The sequence below is a fragment of the Homo sapiens genome, chromosome 15 (assembly GCF_000001405.40).
Source record: "Homo sapiens chromosome 15, GRCh38.p14 Primary Assembly".
Taxonomy (NCBI): Eukaryota; Metazoa; Chordata; class Mammalia; order Primates; family Hominidae; genus Homo; species Homo sapiens.
In genome coordinates this window covers 51,955,440-51,975,767 of record NC_000015.10, presented here as the reverse complement: position 1 = coordinate 51,975,767, position 20,328 = coordinate 51,955,440, and the positions used below count along the sequence as shown (strand labels likewise).

At 43.7% G+C, this 20,328-nt stretch overlaps 2 protein-coding genes across 8 annotated transcripts in view, besides 4 other annotated features; one reads left to right on the top strand and one right to left on the bottom strand.

Moving 5' to 3' along the window:
* MAPK6 (mitogen-activated protein kinase 6) overlaps positions 1 to 3,943 on the bottom strand; it is a 95,551-nt gene extending 91,608 nt beyond the window's left edge. The window contains exon 1 of one of the 2 annotated variants that reach the window (XM_047432852.1): positions 3,862 to 3,943. The gene's annotated coding sequence lies outside the window, so the exon portion shown is untranslated. The remainder of the gene's footprint in view (positions 1 to 3,861) is intronic. The other variant, XM_047432853.1, reaches the window with a different exon arrangement.
* Positions 3,721 to 4,296: an enhancer, noted in NCBI's record as "H3K27ac hESC enhancer chr15:52263669-52264244 (GRCh37/hg19 assembly coordinates)". NCBI's record gives its function as "activates a minimal SCP1, AML or CMV promoter by ChIP-STARR-seq in naive H9 embryonic stem cells {active_cell/tissue: H9 hESC(naive)}" and the evidence as "EXISTENCE:reporter gene assay evidence [ECO:0000049][PMID:30033119]".
* Positions 3,721 to 4,873: a biological region, named in NCBI's record as "H3K27ac hESC enhancers GRCh37_chr15:52263092-52263668 and GRCh37_chr15:52263669-52264244".
* Positions 3,944 to 4,473: an enhancer, noted in NCBI's record as "active region_9410". NCBI's record gives its function as "activates an Ori minimal core promoter by ATAC-STARR-seq in GM12878 lymphoblastoid cells {active_cell/tissue: GM12878}" and the evidence as "EXISTENCE:reporter gene assay evidence [ECO:0000049][PMID:35858748]".
* The window catches only part of LEO1 (LEO1 component of Paf1/RNA polymerase II complex), a 33,754-nt gene continuing 17,415 nt past the window's right edge, over positions 3,990 to 20,328 (top strand). For 5 of the 6 annotated variants that reach the window (NM_001323904.2, NM_138792.4, NM_001426598.1 and 2 more), the window contains exons 1-6: positions 3,990 to 4,080; positions 9,264 to 10,019; positions 13,275 to 13,379; positions 15,035 to 15,129; positions 15,724 to 15,869; positions 16,942 to 17,026. In NM_001323904.2, coding sequence (NP_001310833.1) covers positions 4,023 to 4,080; positions 9,264 to 10,019; positions 13,275 to 13,379; positions 15,035 to 15,129; positions 15,724 to 15,869; positions 16,942 to 17,026 — 1,245 coding nt within the window. In that variant the 5' untranslated portion in view covers positions 3,990 to 4,022. The remainder of the gene's footprint in view (positions 4,081 to 9,263; positions 10,020 to 13,274; positions 13,380 to 15,034; positions 15,130 to 15,723; positions 15,870 to 16,941; positions 17,027 to 20,328) is intronic. The other variant, NM_001286430.2, reaches the window with a different exon arrangement.
* Positions 4,297 to 4,873: an enhancer, noted in NCBI's record as "H3K27ac hESC enhancer chr15:52263092-52263668 (GRCh37/hg19 assembly coordinates)". NCBI's record gives its function as "activates a minimal SCP1, AML or CMV promoter by ChIP-STARR-seq in naive H9 embryonic stem cells {active_cell/tissue: H9 hESC(naive)}" and the evidence as "EXISTENCE:reporter gene assay evidence [ECO:0000049][PMID:30033119]".

Here is a 20,328-nt window from a genome sequence, read left to right as displayed (position 1 = left end):
CCTGTTCCCTTCTAAAGGCCAACTCCTTCCACAAAGTGCTCAGAAAAGCCACATGATCCTCCTGTGGAGTGGCAGTTTACCATAAATGGAGTGAATTTTCAGTGAATATATTCTGTTTAATCAATCTGTTATTTTTCCTCTAAGTCGTTAAGGTGTTACACAAATTTAAAAACATATATTCCTTTTTGTGTGATTTGGTGTAAGTATATATTTTATACTTTTTTTTTTTAGACGGAGTCTTGCTCTGTCTCCAGGCTTGAGTGCAGTGGCGCGATCTTGGCTCACTGCAACCTCCGCCTCCCGGATTCAAGCGATTCTCCTGCCTCAGCCTCCTGAGTAGCTGGGACTACAGGTGCATGCCACCCCACCCAGCTAATTTTTGTATTCTTAGTAGAGACGAGGTTTCACCATGTTGGCCAGGATGGTCTTGATCTCTTGACCTCGTGATCCACCTGCCTTGGCCTCCCAAAGTGCTGGGATTACAGGCGTGAGCCACCGCGCCCGGCCTGTTGAGTATTTTTTTGATTACCTTGTAAAAATGTTTGTGATGATACATTAATTGTATTGTGTTATGTACTCAACCTCATTGAATCTTTGTTCTTCGGGTTCTATGGTATCTAAAAAGATATTATTCTGAGGATCTAGCTTCACCTTATGAAAGCAGAACGTTCTTTCAAAAACTGAAAGAACGAAGATAAAGCCACTCTGAAGTTGTTTTATTTAATCACACACCTAATAGATGAAATTCTCAGGCCTGGTGCGGTGGCTGACGCCAGTAATCCCAGCATTTGGGAGGTTGAGGTGGATGGATCACCTGAGGTCAGGAATTCAAGACCAGCCTGGCCAACATGGTGAAACCCTGTCTTTACTAAAAATACAAAAATTAGCTGGGCATGGTGGTGCATGCCTATAGTCCCAGCTACTTGGGAGGCTGAGACAGGAGAATCACTTGAAGCCGGGAGGCGGAGGTTGCAGTGAGCCAAGGTCATGCCACGGCACTCCAGCCTGGGTGACAGAGCAAGACTCTGTCTTGCGGGGGGGGAAAAAAGAAATTCTCCATTCCTAGGAACAAATGTCAAGATCATCTTTTTTTTTTTTTTTTTTTTTTTGAGACGGAGTCTCGCTCTGTCTCCCAGGCTCGGGTGCAGTGGCGTGATCTCAGCTCACTGCAAGCTCCGCCTCCTGGGTTCATGCCATTCTCCTGCCTCAGCCTCCCCAGTAGCTGGGACTACAGGTGCCCGTCACCATGCCCTGCTAACTTTTTTTTAAATATTTTTAGTAGAGACGGGGTCACTGTGTTAGCCAGGATGGTCTCGATCTCCTGACCTTGTGATCCACCTGCCTCGGCCTCCCAAAGTGCTGGGATTACAGGGGTGAGCCACCGTGCCCGGCCTGTCAAGATCATCTTAACATTCAAAGTTAAATTAGTTGAACACAAACCAAATAGGATTAAATTCTCCATCTCTGGGGGTAAATGAAGTTATTTAGCACTGTAAACTTTAATCAAACTGGGTGTAGTGGCTTACACCTGTAATTCCAACACTTTTGGAGGCCAAGACACGAGGATCACTTGAGGCCAGGAATTCAAGACCAGTCTAGGCAACATAGTGAGACCTTGTTTCTATATATTTTTTTAAGTTTTTAAAAAAGTATTAAAAATAAAATAAACTTCAATCAAAGTGATAACCTCAGGTAAGAAATACTGCAAAATGATTGTGATTGATTTACCTTAAGTCCAATCTCATGTATTATATCCTTTATGAAGAAAGATAATGAGTAGAAGAGCAATGGTCAGCATAAAGTGTAACCAAAACAAGGCTGGGCACGGTGGCTCAGGCCTGTAATTCCATCACTTTGGGAGGCCAAGGCGGGTGGATCACCTGAGGTCAGGAGTTTGAGACCAGCCTGACTAACATGATGAAATCCCATCTCTACTAAAAATACAAAATTAACCGGATATGGTGGCGCATGCCTGTAATCCCAGCTACTCAGAAGGCTGAGGCAGGAGAATCACTCGAACCCGGGAGGTGGAGGTTGCAGTGAGCTGAGATCACGCCATTGTACTCCAGCCTGGGCAACAAGAGCGAAACTCTGTTTAAAAAAAAAAAGTGTAGCCAAAACATAAACAAAAAAATCTGTCCAAGAGTCAGAAGTGATTTGTTTTATACTATTCATATGGGAAAAACACGTTTATTCTGATAGCCAGGAATATGGACATGGTGACTCACCAGACCAAACTGTAATTCAATTTATTAAGATTTAGCCAGGCACTGTGGCCCATACTTGTAATCCCAACGTGTTAGGAGGCCGAGGCAGGAGGACCTCTTGAGGCCAGGAGTTTGAGGCTGCAGTGAGCTATGATGGCGCCACTGCGCTCCAGCCTAGGCAACAGAGACACTGTATCAAAAGAAAATAAATTTAATCAAAGTACTTTTCAGGGACAGTACTCTAAATGAAAATGAAACTGAATCACTGTCAAATGGAATACTTGTTTTTCCAGTATTCCAGATAGTTTTCAGGTTATCTATGTATCTTCTCTTGCAACATCCGCTTCATACACAAAAGCTCTAGGATTGATGATTACATACCCAGTCCCACCCATTTGGACCCTGTTAAGCACTGAAGTTTACTACAAAAATATATATCATATAATCTCCAAACTAAATATTCATTGTTGCTTGTCCAAGACCAAAACTCTCATAATGGCCTAATTAGGTAATGTAACACAGGATGTACTCTTTTCTCACTTTTTCTTCTAAGAAACAGAGCCTTACTCTGTCACTCAGGCTAGAGTGAAGTGGCGTGATCATAGCTCACTGCAGCCTCCAACTCCTGGGCTCAAGTGATCCTCCATTCTCAGTTTCCTGAGTAGCTAGGGCTACAAATGCATGCCATCATGCCTGGCTAATGTTTTTATTTTTAATTATTTTATTTTATTATTATTATTTTTTTGAGATGGAGTCTCGTGCCCAGGCTGGAGTGCAGTGGCGCGATCTCGGCTCACTGCAAGCTCCGCCTCCTGGGTTCACGCCATTCTCCTGCCTCATCCTCCCTAGTAGCTGGGACGACAGGCGCCCACAACCACGCCCGGCTAATTTTTTTTATTTTAGTAGAGACGGGGTTTCACCGTGTTAGCCAGGATGGTCTCGATCTCCTGACCTCGTGATCCACCCGCCTCGGCCTCCCAAAGTGCTGGGATTACAGGCGTGAGCGACCGCGCCCGGCCAAAAAAATGGTCATTTAAAGCTTAAAAAAGCTGTTTGTTAACATGTATATTATTTTTAAATGAATTAGTAACTTAAAAATTTATTACCGTATTAGTAAGAATACAGTAAATATCAATACCCGTACCTGTAATCCCAGCACTTTGGGAGGCCGAGGCGGGCGGATTGCCTGAGCTCCTGAGTTTGCGACCAGCCTGGGCAACACGGTGAAACCCCGTGTCTACTAAAATACAAAAAATTAGCCGGGTGTGGTGGCGGGCGCCTGTCGTCCCAGCTACTCGGGAGGCTGAGGAATTAGAATTGCTTGAACCCGGACAGTGGAGGTTGCTGTGAGCCGAGATCGCGCCACTGCACTCCAGCCTGGGCGACTGAGCGAGACTCCGTCTCAACAATTTTTAAGAGGGTAAAGGGGTTTGGGATGAAATAACTGGAGAACAGCTGCTCAGTAAGAAACAAAGGGCTTCAATCCTGACTCGCGATAGGTTTAATCCAGCCAGAGGCCCTTCCCCAGAGAGCGCCAGTCACCGCCCACCCCATCCACACCCGCAACCGAACGCAGGACCCCCCCGCCCCCTGGTAAGAATCCTGGCAAATAACAGATATTGACGAAATGGCCGGGCTTATATACCATGCATACCCAGGCGAGAACAGGTTCACTGGGCGAGCGAAAACTAGGTCACGTAAGGAAAGGAGTGTCTTCGGCGAATCTTTGCGACACTGTCGTGTTTCAGTGGTTCCGTGCCGTAAAGAGAGGCCGGGAGCTGCCCCTAACCGAGGCAGCAGCGGACGTGAGCGATAATGGCGGATATGGAGGATCTCTTCGGGAGCGACGCCGACAGCGAAGCTGAGCGTAAAGGTGGGTTCGCTGGTCTTCGGAGGATGGGTGCGTGGCAGGCCTTCCGCTGTGGGAGCCGGACAACCGTGGAGGCTCCAGCGCCGCGGGCAAGAGGTGGCGTTTCCTCCACTCCTGCCTCAGCGCCCCCTGCACTCCCGGAGGTGCCATCCTCCTCCGGCGGGCAGGATGGAGAGTCAGACAGTCTGCGCCTCGAGGCTCTGGGTGTCGGTGGAGCAGACGGTTCCTGGGAGCTTGTGGAGCGAAAGGGGCGCGGGGCATGGGTGGAAGTGCAGGCGAGCCTGCGCAGCGCGGGTAGGAACGTTGGAGTCCTGTTCCGCCTTGCCTTGCACAGGCCAGCGTAGAGTAAGGGCTGTTTTTGAATGAATGGAAATGAATGCAGGAATATGGGATGGGGTGGGCGAATTTACAGAGGGCCTCAGAATGCCGTCTTGAATGAAACCAGAGCATGGTGTGATAGGGAGCTTGAGATGTCTGGATGACGAGTCTGGGACGGATAATGGGATGGGGTTACAGATAGATGTTTCACATAGGAGAGAATGTGTTCTCTAAGAGCTTGTGCAGAAACTCCAGAATTTCCGGAGTCTGTGATGTTAGATTGGGGAGTGCATGGGGTCTGTGTACAGAGAGGAGGAATGAAGGATTTGTTGATGAAATGAATGAATTAGTGTATGTGCATGCTGCTTGGAAGTTATTTCTGGCACAGGATTGTGGGTGTTTTTTTAAAGTTTACTTTTTTAGAGACAGGGTCTCACTGTGTTGCTCAGGTTGGCCTTGAACTTCTGGGCTCAAGCCATCCTTCTGCCTCAGCCTCCAAGTAGTTGAGACTACGGGCACTTGAAATATGAATAGGAGCTATTTGAAGTGAGAACCCAAGACCAAGTTCAGAATTCTTGCAACCCTCTAGGCTCCAAGTAAAGTGAGTCTCTTGTAGACAACATATATCTAGTTGTTATTTTCATCACCCCCAAATAAAACACTGTTCATAAAGCACTTACTCCTCATATGCTCCTTCCTCCAACCCCTGTCTGCTATTGTTTCTGTACTTATCTGTTCTGGGAATTTCATATAAATTGAATCATGCATTGTGGTCTTTTGTGTCTGGTTTCTTTTACTTAGCATAATGTCTTCAAGGCATTGTAGCACATATCAGTACTTTATTCATTTTTAATGATTTAATAATATTCCATTGAATGTGCACACCCTAAATTTGTTAATCCATTTATCTGTTGATGGACATTGGGTTGTTTGAATAGTGCTACTGTAAACATTCCTGGTTCCGGCAGGCGGATTTGCCTGAGCTCAGGAGTTGAAGACCAGCCTGGGCAACATGGTGAAACCCTGTCTCTACTAAAAATACAAACTGTTAGCCAGGTGTGGTCGTGCGTGCCTGTAGTCCCAGGTACTCAGAAGGCTGAGGCATGAGAATCACTTGAACCCAGGAGACAGAGGTTGGCAGTGAGCTGAGATTGCATCACTTCACTTCAACCTGGGTGATAAAGTGAGACTCTGTCTCCAAAAAAATAAATAAATTCATGTACATGTTTGGGTGCCTGTTTTTAATTTTGGGAGGAGGGTATTATGTAGGAGTGCAGAGTCATATGGTAATTCTTTAATATTTTGAGGAGCAGCCAAACTGTTTTCCATAGTGGTTGAGCCATTTTACATTACCACCAGCAATGCACCAGGGTTCCCTTTCCCCACATCTTTGCCAACAGTTATTTTAAGTTTTTATTTGTTTCTAAAGTAGCCATCCTTGATGTTATCAAGTGGTGTCTCATTGTGGTTTCAGTTTACACTTTCCCAAAGGCTAATGATGCTGAACATCTTTTTTTTTTTTTTTTTTTTTTTTAACGGAGTCTCAGTCTGTCTCCCAGGCTGCAGTGCAGTGGTACAATCTTGGCTCACTGCAACCTCCGCCTCCGGGTTCAAGCAATTCTCCTGCCTTAACCTCCCGAGTAGCTGTGATTACAGGCACCTGCCACCATACCCTACTAATTTTTGTATTTTAAGTAGAGATGAGGTTTTGTCATGTTGGCCAGGCTGGTTCCAAACTCCTGACCTCAGGTGATCCACCTGCCTCGGCCTCTCAAAGTGCTAGGTTCAAGCGATTCTCCTGCCTTTGCCTCCTGGGTTCAAGTGATTCTCCTCCCTTATCCTCCCGAATAGCTGGGATTACAGGCGCCTGCCACCACACCCTGCTAATTTTTGTATTTTTAGTAGACATGAGGTTTTGCCATTTTGGCCAGGCTGGTCTCAAACTCCTGACCTCAGGTGATCTGCCTGCCTCGGCCTCTCACAGTGCTGGGATTACAGGTGTGAGCCACTGCGCCCAGCCGTTGAACATCTTTTCATGTATTTATTGGCCATTTGTGTAACTTTGTTTGGAGAAATGTCTATTCAAGTCCTCTGTTTTAAAAAAATTGGTTTTAGGCCAGGCACAGTGGCTCACGCCTGTAATCCCAGCACTTTAGGGGGCTGAGGTGGGTGGATCACCTGAGGTCAGGAGTTCGAGACCAGCCTGGCCAACATGGTGAAACCCTATCTCTACTAAAAATACAAAAAAATTAGCCAGGTGTGGTGGCGTGCGCCCATAAACTTGGGAGGCTGAGGTAGGAGAATCGCTTGAGGGAGGCAGAGGTTGCAGTGAGCCAAGATTGCACCACTGTACTCCAGCCTGAAGGATAGAGCGAGACTCTGTCTCCAAGAAAACAAACGAACAAAAAACACAAAGAAATTGGTTTTATTGTTGAGTTATAAATGTTCTTTGTATATTTTGGATAAAGACACTTATCAGATACATGGTTTGCAAATATTTTCTTCCATTCTGTAGGTTGTTTTTTCACTTTCCTTTTTTTTTTTGAGACGGAGTCTTGCTCTGTCGCCCAGGCTGGAGTGCAGTGGCGCAATCTCGGCTTACAGCAACCTCCGCCTTCTGGGTTCAAGTGATTATTCTGCTTCAGCCTCCCAAGTAGCTGGGACTACAGGCATGCACCACCACGCCTGGCTAATTTTTGTATTTTTAGTAGAGATGGGGTTTCACCATATTGGCCAGGCTGTTCTCAAACTCCTGACCTCGTGATCCACCCACCTCAGCCTCCCAAAGTGCTGGGATTACAGGCGTGAGCCACTGCGCCTGGCCTTCACTTACTTTTTTTTTTTGGAGACAGAGTCTCCCCTTTCATGCAGTGGCACGATCTCGGCTCACTGCAACCTCCGCTTCCTAGGTTTAAGGGATTCTTATGCCTCATTATTCCCAGTAGCTGGGATTACAGGCGTGTGCCCCCATGCCCAGCTAATTTTTGTATTTTTAGTAGACAGGGTTTCACCATGTTGGTCAGGCTGGTCTGGAACTCCTGACCTCAGGTGATCTTCCCACCTTGGGCTCCTAGAGTGCTGAGATTACAGGCATGAGCCACCGCACCCAGCCAAAAGATTTTATTGTCCTCTAAGACATTAACCAGTTTTGAACTTAACTTAGCAATATTATGTATTTATTTATTTATTTGAGATGGAGTCTTGGTCTGTTGCCCAGGCTGGAGTGCAGTGCTATGATCTTGGCTCACTGCAACCTCCATCTCCTGGGTTCAAGCGATTGTCCTGCCTCAGCCTCCCAAGTAGTGGGCTCACAGGCGTAAGCCACCATGCCTGGCTAATTTTTGTATTTTTAGTAGAGATGGGGTTTCACCATGTTGGCCAGGCTGATCTCAAACTCCTGACCTCAGGTGATCCAGCCACCTTGGCTTCCCAAAGTGTTGGGATTACAGGCATGAGCCACTGCGCCGGGCCTACTTTCTTAATAACGTCCTTTGCTGCACAAAAGTTTTTCATTTTGTGGAAGTCCAATTTATGTTTTCTTTTGTCTTCCATATCGTCTTAGTTTTTGAAGCATAATTTTACTGAATATAAAATTCTTGGTTGACAGTCTTTCTTTTTAGCACTTTGAATGTGTCCTCTTATGGATGGCTCTGGGATTCCTTGGTTTCTGATGAAAAATCAGCTGTTACTCTTATTGAGCGTTCCTCATATGGGATGAACTGCTTCTCTTTTGCCCGCTTTTGGAATTGTTTCTTTGTCTTTGACAGTCTGATAACAATGTTTCTAGGTGTAAACCTCTGTAAGTTTATCCTACTTGTCATTTGTTGAACTTGTTGGATGTGTAGATCTATATTTTTCATAAATTTGGGAGTTCTTCAGCTATCATTTATTTATTCTTTTGAGACAGAGTCTCGCTTTGTCACTCAGGCTAGAGTGCAATGGTGTGGTCTCGGCTCACTGCAACCTCCACCTCCTGGATCCAAGCGATTTTCCTGTTTCAGCCTCTCAAGTAGCTGGGATTACAGGCTTGCGCCACCATACCTGGCTAACTTTTGTATTTTTAGTAGAGATGGGGTTTTGCCATGTTGGCCAGCCTGGTCTCGAACTCCTGACCTCAAGTGATCTGCCCGCCTTGGCCTCCCAAAGTGCTGGGATTACAGGTGTGAACCACCATGCCTGGCCTCAGCTATTATTTAAGAATCTTTTTCTGCTCATTTCTCTTCTTCTGAGACTCCATTATGCATACATTGGTATAACTTAAGGTGTCCCATAAATCTTCTAGACTCCGTTCCTTTCTCTTTATTCTTTTTTCTTTCTGTTTCTCAGATTGGACAGTCGAACTGAGGTATCTTCAAGTTTACTGATTCTTTCTTTTTCCTGCTCAAATCTTTGGTTGAGCCCCTCTAGTGACTCTTTGATTTTAGTAAATATATTTTTCTTTTTCTTTTTCTTTTTTTTCTTTGAGACAAAGTCTCACTCTGTCGCCCAGGCTGGAGTGCAGTGGCTTGATCTCCGCTCACTGCAACTTCTGCCTCCCGGGTTCAAGTGATTCTCCTGTCTCAGCCTCCTGAGTAGCTGGGATTACAGGCATGTGCAACCATGCCTGGCTAAATTTTGTATTTTTAGTAGAGACAGGGTTTCGCTATGTTTGTCAGGCTGGTCTCGAACTCCTGACCTCAGGTGATCTGCCTGCCTCGGCTTCCCAAAGTGCTGGGATTACAGGCGTGAGCCACTGCACCCGGCCTTAGAATGTTAATTCTAACAGTTTTTGCCAGTTTCTTCATTGCTTTTATGTTGGGATGGACTTTGGGACTGCCTTACTCTGCCTTTTTTTGCTTATGTTATCCTATGTTTATATGACCCCATAGATTCTGATTCTGGATCTGACTCAGATTCTGATCAAGAGAATGCTGCCTCTGGCAGTAATGCCTCTGGAAGTGAAAGTGATCAGGATGAAAGAGGTGATTCAGGACAACCAAGTAATAAGGAACTGTTTGGAGATGACAGTGAGGACGAGGGAGCTTCACATCATAGTGGTAGTGATAATCACTCTGAAAGATCAGACAATAGATCAGAAGCTTCTGAGCGTTCTGACCATGAGGACAATGACCCCTCAGATGTAGATCAGCACAGTGGATCAGAAGCCCCTAATGATGATGAAGACGAAGGTCATAGATCGGATGGAGGGAGCCATCATTCAGAAGCAGAAGGTTCTGAAAAAGCACATTCAGATGATGAAAAATGGGGCAGAGAAGATAAAAGTGACCAGTCAGATGATGAAAAGATACAAAATTCTGATGATGAGGAGAGGGCACAAGGATCTGATGAAGATAAGCTGCAGAATTCTGACGATGATGAGAAAATGCAGAACACAGATGATGAGGAGAGGCCTCAGCTTTCCGATGATGAGAGACAACAGCTATCTGAGGAGGAAAAGGCTAATTCTGATGATGAACGGCCGGTAGCTTCTGATAATGATGATGAGAAACAGAATTCTGATGATGAAGAACAACCACAGCTGTCTGATGAAGAGAAAATGCAAAATTCTGATGATGAAAGGCCACAGGCCTCAGATGAAGAACACAGGCATTCAGATGATGAAGAGGAACAGGATCATAAATCAGGTAATACATTTATGAGAACCAGAATGGCTCAGAAAGAAGCATTCAGATACAGCAGGGACCCATTTAGTCTTTATTCCCATCTTTATTACCCTGTTTTTTCTCTTCTGTCCCCTCCCTTTCAAACTTTTCTAACTCTAGAATACATTTTGCTTCTTTTAAATCTTTCTAATCCACTTATTCTTTCTTACTCCTTTCCCTTCCATTTGTTAATGGATAGGTCTGGGGGAAAACAATTTAAAGAGGACTTAAAATTGAGTCTTAGAGGGAGGGATATGGTGTAAGAAGAGCTGATAATGAGTTAAGTTGATTCCATTTCTGTGGATAACTGAAGAGCATGCCTCATGTGAGAGAATAGATTAGCCTGGGGAAAAAAACCATACCATTGAAGTGTCCCCACAGAGCAGCTGTACTGAGATGTGGGCACCATTGCTGCAGCTCAGCTTTTTGAGATCCAAAATTTGATCATCCAGAGATGGTCAAGCTCTAAGGAGTTTACTCAAACTAGTCAAATTTACAAGATATTAATGTATAAAATTGAATTGCAAAATTGTTTCAAGAGGATCAGTTATTTCTCCCTTATCACCCCATATGTTTCCCCGGGGGCAAATCTAGCGTGGATGGCAAATTATAATAATCAGGAGGTTGCCCAGGGAGTATAATATGTAGAAAGTGCAAACATGGCTGGGTGATCTCAATGGACAGTGTTACTGAGCCAAGACAGATTGATGGGTGTATCCTCACCCTACAGAGACGAGCTTGGGTTACAGCACTCATTCCCTAAAGACTACAGGAGGCATACACCTGAACTTTGGTTCCTGGACCTGCTTTTATCATTGCCATTTAGACTATTCTGCTCAAGTTAACACATTCTTCATATAGAATGTACAAAAAATTAGAGATCATATTTCTTTGTATTATATAAAAGTTACCTTAATTAAGTTGAAGTCTTCCTGAAATACCTGGATTGCTTCATTTCCATAGGTGATTGATTATATTAATTATATTTTGATCCTATCTTCTTAGCTTAAATATGAGGGCATCTAACACACACCTCACAGGACAGGATTCAGAAACCACATCTTGGTGTTATTAGAAGAGGAGGGCAGCATATTTCCAGAGATGAATATAGATCTGTGTAGACTATGGGACTGCAGTAAGTTTTCAATAACTAATTCAGAGTAGAGGTTTTTTTTTTTTTTTTAACACTTTAAGTTCTAGGGTACATGTGCACAACGTGCAGGTTTGTTACATAGGTATACATGTGCCATGTTGGTGTGCTGCACCCATCAACTCGTCATTTACATTAGGCATTTCTCCTAATGCTATCCCTCCCCCTGCCCCTCACCCCATGACAGGCCCCGGTGTGTGATGTTCCCTGCCCTGTGTCCAACTGTTTTCATTACTCAGTTCCCACCTATGAGTGAGAACATGCGGTGTTTGGTTTTCTGTCCTTGTGATAGTTTGCTGAGAATGATGGTTTCCAGCTTCATCCATGTCCCTCATGTCCCTGCAAAGGACATGAACTCATCCTTTTTTTTTTTTTGAGACGGAGTCTCGCTCTGTCTCCCAGGCTGGAGTGTAGTGGCATGATCTCAGCTCACTGCAAGCTCCGCCTCCTGGGTTCACGCCATTCTCCTGCCTCAGCCTCCCGAGTAGCTGGGACTACAGGCACCCGCCACCACGCCCGGCTAATTTTTTGTATTTTTAGTAGAGACAGGGTTTCACCGTGTTAGCCAGGATGGTCTCGATCTCCTGACCTCGTGATCCGCCTGCTTCGGCCTCCCAAAGTGCTGGGATTACAGGCGTGAGCCACTGCGCCCGGCCACTCATTTTTTTTTTTTTTTTTTTTTTGAGACAGAGTCTCTGTCATCCAGGCTGGAGTGCAGTGGCACCATCTTGGCTCACTGCAATCTCCACCTCCTGGGTTCAAGCAATTCTTCTGCCTCAGCTTCCTGAGTAGCTGGGATTAAAGGTGTGCACCACCAAACCCAGCTAATTTTTGTATTTGTAGTAGAGAGGAAGTTTCCCCATGTTGGCCTGGCCGGTCTCGAACTCCTGATCTCAGGTGATCTGCCCACCTTGGCCTCCCAAAGTGCTGGGATTACAGGCAAGAGCCACCATGCCTGGCCGAAAGTAGGGCTGTTTTTACTGTTACCAGAAAGAATCTTTAAGGCTCATGTACTACATCCCAAATACTAGAAGACCAAGTCAAGGGCAGGGTCATAGTAGGGAACCTTGTAGCTGGTCATTCTGCTTATCTCTTACTAGTTCAACAGTGGTTCTGTTGATTTTTGTGACATTTTTACGTAAATAATTGGCCCTTCTAGAAATAATGATATATTTGTCAGTTCCTTTTTAATCTTTTTACCTTTTTTTCCCTGAAATTTGTCTTATGTAAATTTGATAAGTTTTAGTGCTACTTTTCTCATTTCTACCAAGTTTTTGTACTTGCAAAGCCAGTATATTTATTTATTTGAGACAGTCTCGCTCTGTCACCCAGGCTGGAGTGCAGTGGTGCGATCTTGGCTCACTGCACCATCAGTCTCCCAGGTTCAAATGATTCTCTTGCCTCAGCCTCCTAAGTAGCTGGGACTACAGGTGCACGCTACCACACCCGGCTAATTTTTGTATTTGTAGTAGAGATGGGTTTCACCATGTTGGCCAGGCTGGTCTTGAATTCCTGACCTCAAGTGATCCACCCACCTCGTCCTCTCAAAGTGCTGGGATTACAGGCATGAGCCACCACAACTGGCACCAGTATTTATTTTAAGAATTCTGTTTTTTAAATTAACACACACTAGAGTTAATTTTTTGGGGGGGGGGCATGTTCTGCATGTACAGCTCTATTCATGTTAACATATCTATAGATTTGTCTAACCACCACCACACTCAGGATGCAGAATCGCTGTCACACTGAAAAACTCCCTTATGCTATCCCTTTTGAGTCGTATCTTTCTGCTACCCCTAAACCCTGGCACCTACTGGTCTTTTCTGTCACTAAACTTTTGGTTTTTTGGAAATGTCATATAAATAGAGTTATACAGTAAGTATGTAGTCTTTCAGATTGGCCTCTTTAACTTGGCATATAGCATTTTTGATTCATCCAATTGGTTACATGTATCAGCAGTTCATTCCTCTTTATTGCTGAGTAGTAGTCCATTGTATCACAATTTGTTTATCTCCAATATTGCTTTTAAAACACAAAATTCAACTAATGCGACTGATTATGCAGAACTTCTAATTCTACCCTTATAGAATCTGCAAGAGGCAGTGATAGTGAAGATGAAGTTTTACGAATGAAACGCAAGAATGCGATTGCATCTGATTCAGAAGCGGATAGTGACACTGAGGTGCCAAAAGGTATCCCTATTATTATATATATATGTATATTTCCATACCTCTTTCTGTATTTAACTGTAGTGCATTTCTAACCCTGAGTGTGTTTACCCCAGATCGCCAGACCCACAGAATAAGAGTGTGGATACGCTCAGTGTACTCAGAGAAGTTATATAGCTATGAGAAGCTGCTCATGCTTAATTAGTTGAAGAAGAACCTGCCTCTTTGTAGTTTTTTTTTTTTTTTTTAAGAGACAGAGTCTTGCTCTGTCACCCACGCTGGAGTGCAGTGGTGCAAGCTCAGCTTATTGCAACTGCTGCCTCCTGGGTTCAAGCAATTCTCCTCCCTCAGCCTCCTGGTAGCTGGAATTACAGGAACGTACCACCATGCCTGGCTAAATTTTTTGTATTTTTAGTAGAGGTGGGGTTTCACTATGTTGGCCAGGTTGGTCTCGAACTCCTGATCTCAAGTGTTCCACCCACCTCAGCCTCCCGAAGTGCTGGGATTACAGGCGTGAATCACTGCGCCCAGTCTGTTTATAGTTAGAGTGAATTCATTATTAGGGGGCTGACCTTCTTATTGGGATGGAGGTTACAATGTCCATTCTTCACTTTGAATAATGACAGTCTCGGTGTTTTGTTCCTAAGTTCTTGACTTAGATGAAGAAACTGATTCTTTGAGCTGTGAGTTAGATGAAGAGCTCATAAAAACCCAGTGTTGGCTGGGTGCAGTGGCTCACGCCTGTAATCCCAGCACTTTGGGAGGCCAAGGTGGGTGGATCACTTGAGGCCAGGAGTTCAAGACCAGCTTGGCCAACATGGTGAAGCCCTGTCTGTACTAAAAATACAAAACATTAGCGGGGCGAGGTGGTGTGCATCTGTAGTCCCAGCTACTTGGGAGGCTGAGGCACGAGAATCGCTTGTGCTCGGGAGGCAGAGGTTGCAGTAAGCCAAGGTCGCACCACTGCAGTCCAGCCTGAGCAACAACAGTGAGACTCTGTCTCAAAACAACAACAACAACCGCAACCACCACCACCACCACCACCACCACCACCACCACCTGGTATTATAAGTTGGAAGGATGAAAGGAGTTCTACCGCCAGGTGTGGCAGCTTCCTTTCTCCTGCCTCAGCCTCCCAAGTAGCTGGGATTACAGGCACCTGTCACCAAGCCCAGCTAGTTTTTGTATTTTTAGTAGAGACGGGGTTTCACCATGTTGGTCAGGCTGGTGTCAAACTCCTGACCTTAAGTGATCCACCTGCCTTGGCCTCCCAAAGTGCTGGGATTACAGGCATGAACCACTATGCCTGGACTGTAATTTTGAATCTGGGATAGACTTATGGAAAATGGGTGTCTGTGGAGTGCTTCAGCCCCAACTTTGAGCATCTAGACTGTAGGAAACATTTGGGCTCCTGGGGAATAAAGGAAAGTGGGAGAACAAGGATGGTGAAAATGAAAGGAGAAATAAGTGCCTCCTGTGCAGCTTGCCTTTCACTAGATTTGCCCCCTTCCCTCTCCCCACACTCTCTGGTTGGGTCTTTGAGAGCCAGGCTCAGCATTATGTTTTTGGTGGTTTTCTGATGCTGGTCCAGAAACCTTGGGAATGTGTTGAAGTGATCAGCTGTGAAGAACCTTAGTTACAGATAGTAACACTAATGCCTTTTTCCTTCTGCATTGAAGATAATAGTGGAACCATGGATTTATTTGGAGGTGCAGATGATATCTCTTCAGGGAGTGATGGAGAAGACAAACCACCTACTCCAGGACAGCCTGTTGTAAGTCAGTTAGTAACATGAACTTATTCAAGGCCAGGCATAAAGTTTCAAAGGTGAAGAGTCTCCCTTATTCCAGGAAAGGAAGTTGATAACTGAATTCTAGTATGAAAATACCATGAACAGATGACTTTCTTCATTATGTAGGGAACTCTTGGTTATAAGGGGGAGTGGAAATAACTGCCAAACATGAGGTTGGTGTCATGCCTTAGGGGACTGAACTGTGAGGACTTGTGATTTGAGAACCATTGACTTGAATGTTTTTCTTGCTCATGCCAAGAAGTGTCTGCTATGTTGATAATCTTCTCTGGTTTTAATTGATAGAGTGACTTCCTATTGAAGTGTTAATTTCACACTTTTGTTGAGTATTTGGAAGACAGATTTATCATAAAGGAGATAGTTTTTTGTACTGAGGTATCCAAATTGATCGTTTCCCATTTTGTGTGTAGGTGGGTTGGGATGGGGACTGGGGACTTCTTTAGTCCTAAAGTGATATCTAATTATGTTTCTTGCACCCCAGAGTAATTAAAGTGTGGAGGTTGAAGGAAGCCATTTCTAAGGTCCTGTCAAGCTCCAAACTTCCGATTCTTTCACTAGGATGAAAATGGATTGCCTCAGGATCAACAGGAAGAGGAGCCAATTCCTGAGACCAGAATAGAAGTAGAAATACCCAAAGTAAACACTGATTTAGGAAACGACTTATATTTTGTTAAACTGCCCAACTTTCTCAGTGTAGAGCCCAGGTAAGGAAATCAATTAAAATTTTTTCAGGATGTTGAGTAGAAATACATAGAATGTTTATTTTTCTTATTTCGCATTGAGTTGACAAATCACAAAAACGGAAAATTGATCGTGTATCTCTGAAAAAATTAGTCAAGCACATCCTGAGATAGAAAAAATATGTATTAGTAAGGGAGGCTTTTAATGCTATGATTGTTTTTAGCAGTTTGATACTTTCTTATGAATTAACAGACACCACAAGTGTTCAAGGTATTTTTTTAATTAGTACAACCCTGAAAAGGCTGAAATTGAAAGCGATGAAATTTGCTAGAGAAATGCCAGTGTCCACTGTAGCAGCTATTGTTGGTCTAGAAAAGGTAATGGTTTTGGACAATTAGACAGTGTTTGATGGGTATTATTTACTAAGTTTACTCGAGCTCTTGTGCTTTTAAAATTTTTTTTCCACAGGCACAATGATGTGGAAAGCTAGAGCATATGTTGCCTATTCTTTGGCAGAGTTACATAAGAAGAAGAAAGGATATTTTGAATATTTACCCTTGCTTGTACTTTATTTCAAGCAATATGTATTAACAACAAATTTTAAGAAGTAAAATTACTGGCCGGGTGTGGTGGTTCACACCTATAATCCCAGCACTTTGGGAGGCCGAGGAGGGCGGATCACCTGAGGTCAGGAGTCTGAGACCAGCCTGACCAACATGGAGAAACACCCTGTCTCTACTAAAAATACAAAATTAGCCAGGCATGGTGGCGCATTCCTGTAATCCCAGCTACTCGGGAGGCTGAGGCAGGAGAATCGCTTGAACCTGGGAGGCGGAGGTTGTGGTGAGCCGAGATCGTGCCATTGCACTCCAGCCTGGGCAACAAGAGCAAAGCTCGGTCTCAAAAAAAAAAAAAAAGAAAAAAGTACAATTACTACTTCCTTGAAGTTAAGCATGAAGATATTGATCATTATGATTTTTAAAATTATATTATGATTTTTTGATATAATGGTGTTTATTAATAGAGATGTTATTACATAGCAGTAATATTCTTTATAAAATATGATTAATAGTTTATTTGGAAAACAATTTGTAGACCTTTTGATCCTCAGTATTATGAAGATGAATTTGAAGATGAAGAAATGCTGGATGAAGAAGGTAGAACCAGGTTAAAATTAAAGGTACCATTTCATGCTTTTTCCTTTTTTTTCTTTTATAAAGTAAAACCTGGAGATACTAACTTGAAACTTGAGCTTTTGAAAGTGATTTTTTTACCTAACACTTCACTATATGGCTGTGTTCTTTTGATTGCTTTTGTTGACTATTAGGAAAGAATTTTATTGTACTAAATTCCCATTAATGCTTCTCTTTGATACCTTATACCATCTGGTCACGCTATCAAAGGAGGGCCTCTAATCTTTTAAGTAAGGAGGATGTAGGTTCAGCAGAAGTTTCATCTTTTTATTTTGAGACACGGTCTTGCTCTGTTGTTCAGGATGGAGTACAGCGGCACAAACCCAGCTCTTGGCAGCCTCAATTTCCTGGGTTCAAGTGATCTTCCCATCTCAGCCTCCTGAGTAGCTGGGACTACAGAAAACATGCCACCATGCCCAGCCTTTTTTTTTTTTCTGTAGATATGAGGTCTTGCTGTGTTGCCCAGGTTGATCTTGAACTTCTGAGCTCAAGTGATCCTCCCGCCTTGACCTCCCAAATTGCTGGGATTACAGGCATGATTGCTACTGCACTTGGCCAAGTAGACATTTTAGAATTGAGTTGCACAAGGGAACAAGAGGTGGTTGAATGCATGATACTGAAACTGGAATTATGCATTTTCAATTCTTAAATCCGAAGGATTTCCTGTAAATTTCTTATTTTCTAGTGGGTATTTATATATTTTTTTTTGAGAAGGAGCATCGCTGTGTCGCCCACGCTGGAGGGCAGTGGCATGATCTCAGCTCACTGCAACCTCTGCCTCCTGGGTTCAAGTGATTCTCCTGCCTCAGCCTCCCAAGTAGCTGAGACTACAGGCATGCACCACCATGCCCAGCTAATTTTTGTATTTTTAGTAGAGACAGGGTTTCACGATGTTGGCCAGGTTGGTCTCGAACTCCTGACCTCAGGTGATCCACCCACCTCGGCCTCCCAAAGAGCTGGGATTACAGGTGTGAGCCACCGCGCCTGGCCTTGGTACCTTATTAAATTGTTAGAAAGGGATAGTCTGGCATTTTTTAGGCACTGAATTTTTATATTTTTAATAGTACCATCTCTTCAATGTGGTATATTAACAACTACCTAAATAACCTTGATATAAGATGGTTTCTATCCAAAAGCTTTTCAGTGAGACTTCACTACTCCTCTTAATGGAAATGCAAATCAAATAAGAAAACTGAGATAAACAGGTGCTAATAATTTGTTCAAGATCACACAGTCAACAGATATACTGCTTACACTATTTTTTTTTCCTGTCCTCCCTCCACCACCCATCTACTCATCTGTTTATTAGCCCATCTGTTAATATTATTTCTTTGGGACACATGGATGTATTGATTTAGGCTTAGCAGTATCAATTTTTCATGGTTGTTTTAGTGCCTCTGGCTTTAATTCTACTACTTTTCATTGTTTCCTGTCATATACATATAAACTAATATAGTAGTTCCTTATTCACTTTTTATCAATTTATTTAATTTTGTCTTTTTCCTTTTTCTTACTTTCTGTCATGATGCTACAGCTAGTATCAATATATCTATTATATTTTTAGACCATGTGATACCAGATTCTAGTATGGGTGTCAGACTTCAAAGGCCGGGCATGGTGCCGCATATCTGTAATTCCAGTACCTTGGGAGGCCGAGGTGAGAAGACTGGCCAGGAGTTTCAGACCAGCCTGAGCAACAGAGCAAGACCTTGTCTCTACTAAAAATAAAAAAAAATTAGCCAGCAGAGATGGCGCATGCCCATAGTCACAGCTACTCCAGGAGGCTGAGGCGGGAGGATTGCTTGAGCCCAGGAGTTTGAGGCTGCAGTGAGCTGTGATTGTGCCATTGCACTCCAGCCTGTGCAGCACAGCGAGACCCTGTCTCCCCCCCAAAAAAAAATTTATAAATATGTATTTTACCCTAAAATTTCAGTGCATCAGACTACAAAATGTTGGTGTTTAACATAAACTGTTGTCTTAAAACCTTGGTGTGTGATAGGAAATAACCCTGGACCCTTATTTTCTTGAGTGATGTTTAAGACTACGCTGACCAGTCTTAAAGCATGGTGTAGTTAATTCTTTAAGAACAAGGAACCAGGGAACCAGGTACAGCTTATGTACCTCTCTGAGGTCCCCTGTCTTCAGAAATACTATTATGTGTCCTTCATCCTGATAGGTTAAGACCTAGCAATGTGTCCTATTATAGCATCATTACTATTTGAATCACTTTATATAATAGAAAGCATTTTTTAGAACGGCTTCTCAATTAATAATGGCCTATTTGTGGTTTTTTTTTTTTTTTTTTTGAGATGGAGTCTTGCTCTGTCGTCGCCCAGGCTGGAATGCAGTGGCGCAATCTCAGCTCACTGCAACCCCCGCCTCCCGGGTTCAAGCAATTCTCCAGCCTCAGCCTCCCGAGTAGCTGGAATTACAGGCACATGCCACCATGCCCGGGTAATTTTTGTATATTTTTAGCAGAGATGGGGTTTCACTGTGTTGGCCAGGTAGGTCTTGAACTCCTGACCTCAGGTGATCTGCCTGCCTCGGCCTCCCAAAGTGCTGGGATTACAGGTGTGAGCCCTGCACCCGGCATATTTGTGTATTTATATGTGGCCAACCTATTGTATGAGATGGAAGACAGGAATAGTGACAGATTGTTTTGTTTTCAATCTGAAAATTTCAAACATACACCAATGTATTAAAAACAATATAATGAACTCTTTCATGTGCCCATGACCCACTTCAACAGTTGTCGAGTTAACAATCTTTTGTCATCTACATATTCCCCACCCCAGCTTCCCCAGACTATTCTGAAACAAATTTCAGGTATGACATCATGTTTAATTCATAAATATGATGGAGTTATTCAATCAGCACACTTTATAGCTATTTGTGAGGAATAAATAGGGAAAGGGGAAAAACTGGAAGGGGGAATCATTAGGACCCAGCTGCACAGACATTTGCAGCTAAAGGAGTGGAGATCCAGACGATCTCCGTGGGACTGGGAGCAGCTGTGTTTAGGATTGACACTGGGGGAACAGGCAGAGGGAAGCATGGTCTTGGCATTGGCAGTTTTCACATTGTTGGCTTCTGTCTGTTGCCAGCTTCATTCTCATTCTTTCTATCCTTGTATGTCCTGTTTTTACTCTTCATTGTCATTTTAGTGGGTTTCCAGGAGGCAGCAGTGATAAACTGCATGCGTTTAGTATGCCATGTTTTCCTGGAGATCCCACTGACTTTACTTTCAGTAACAGTGGTTTTCATTTGCCAACTCTGGTGTTTCCCCACC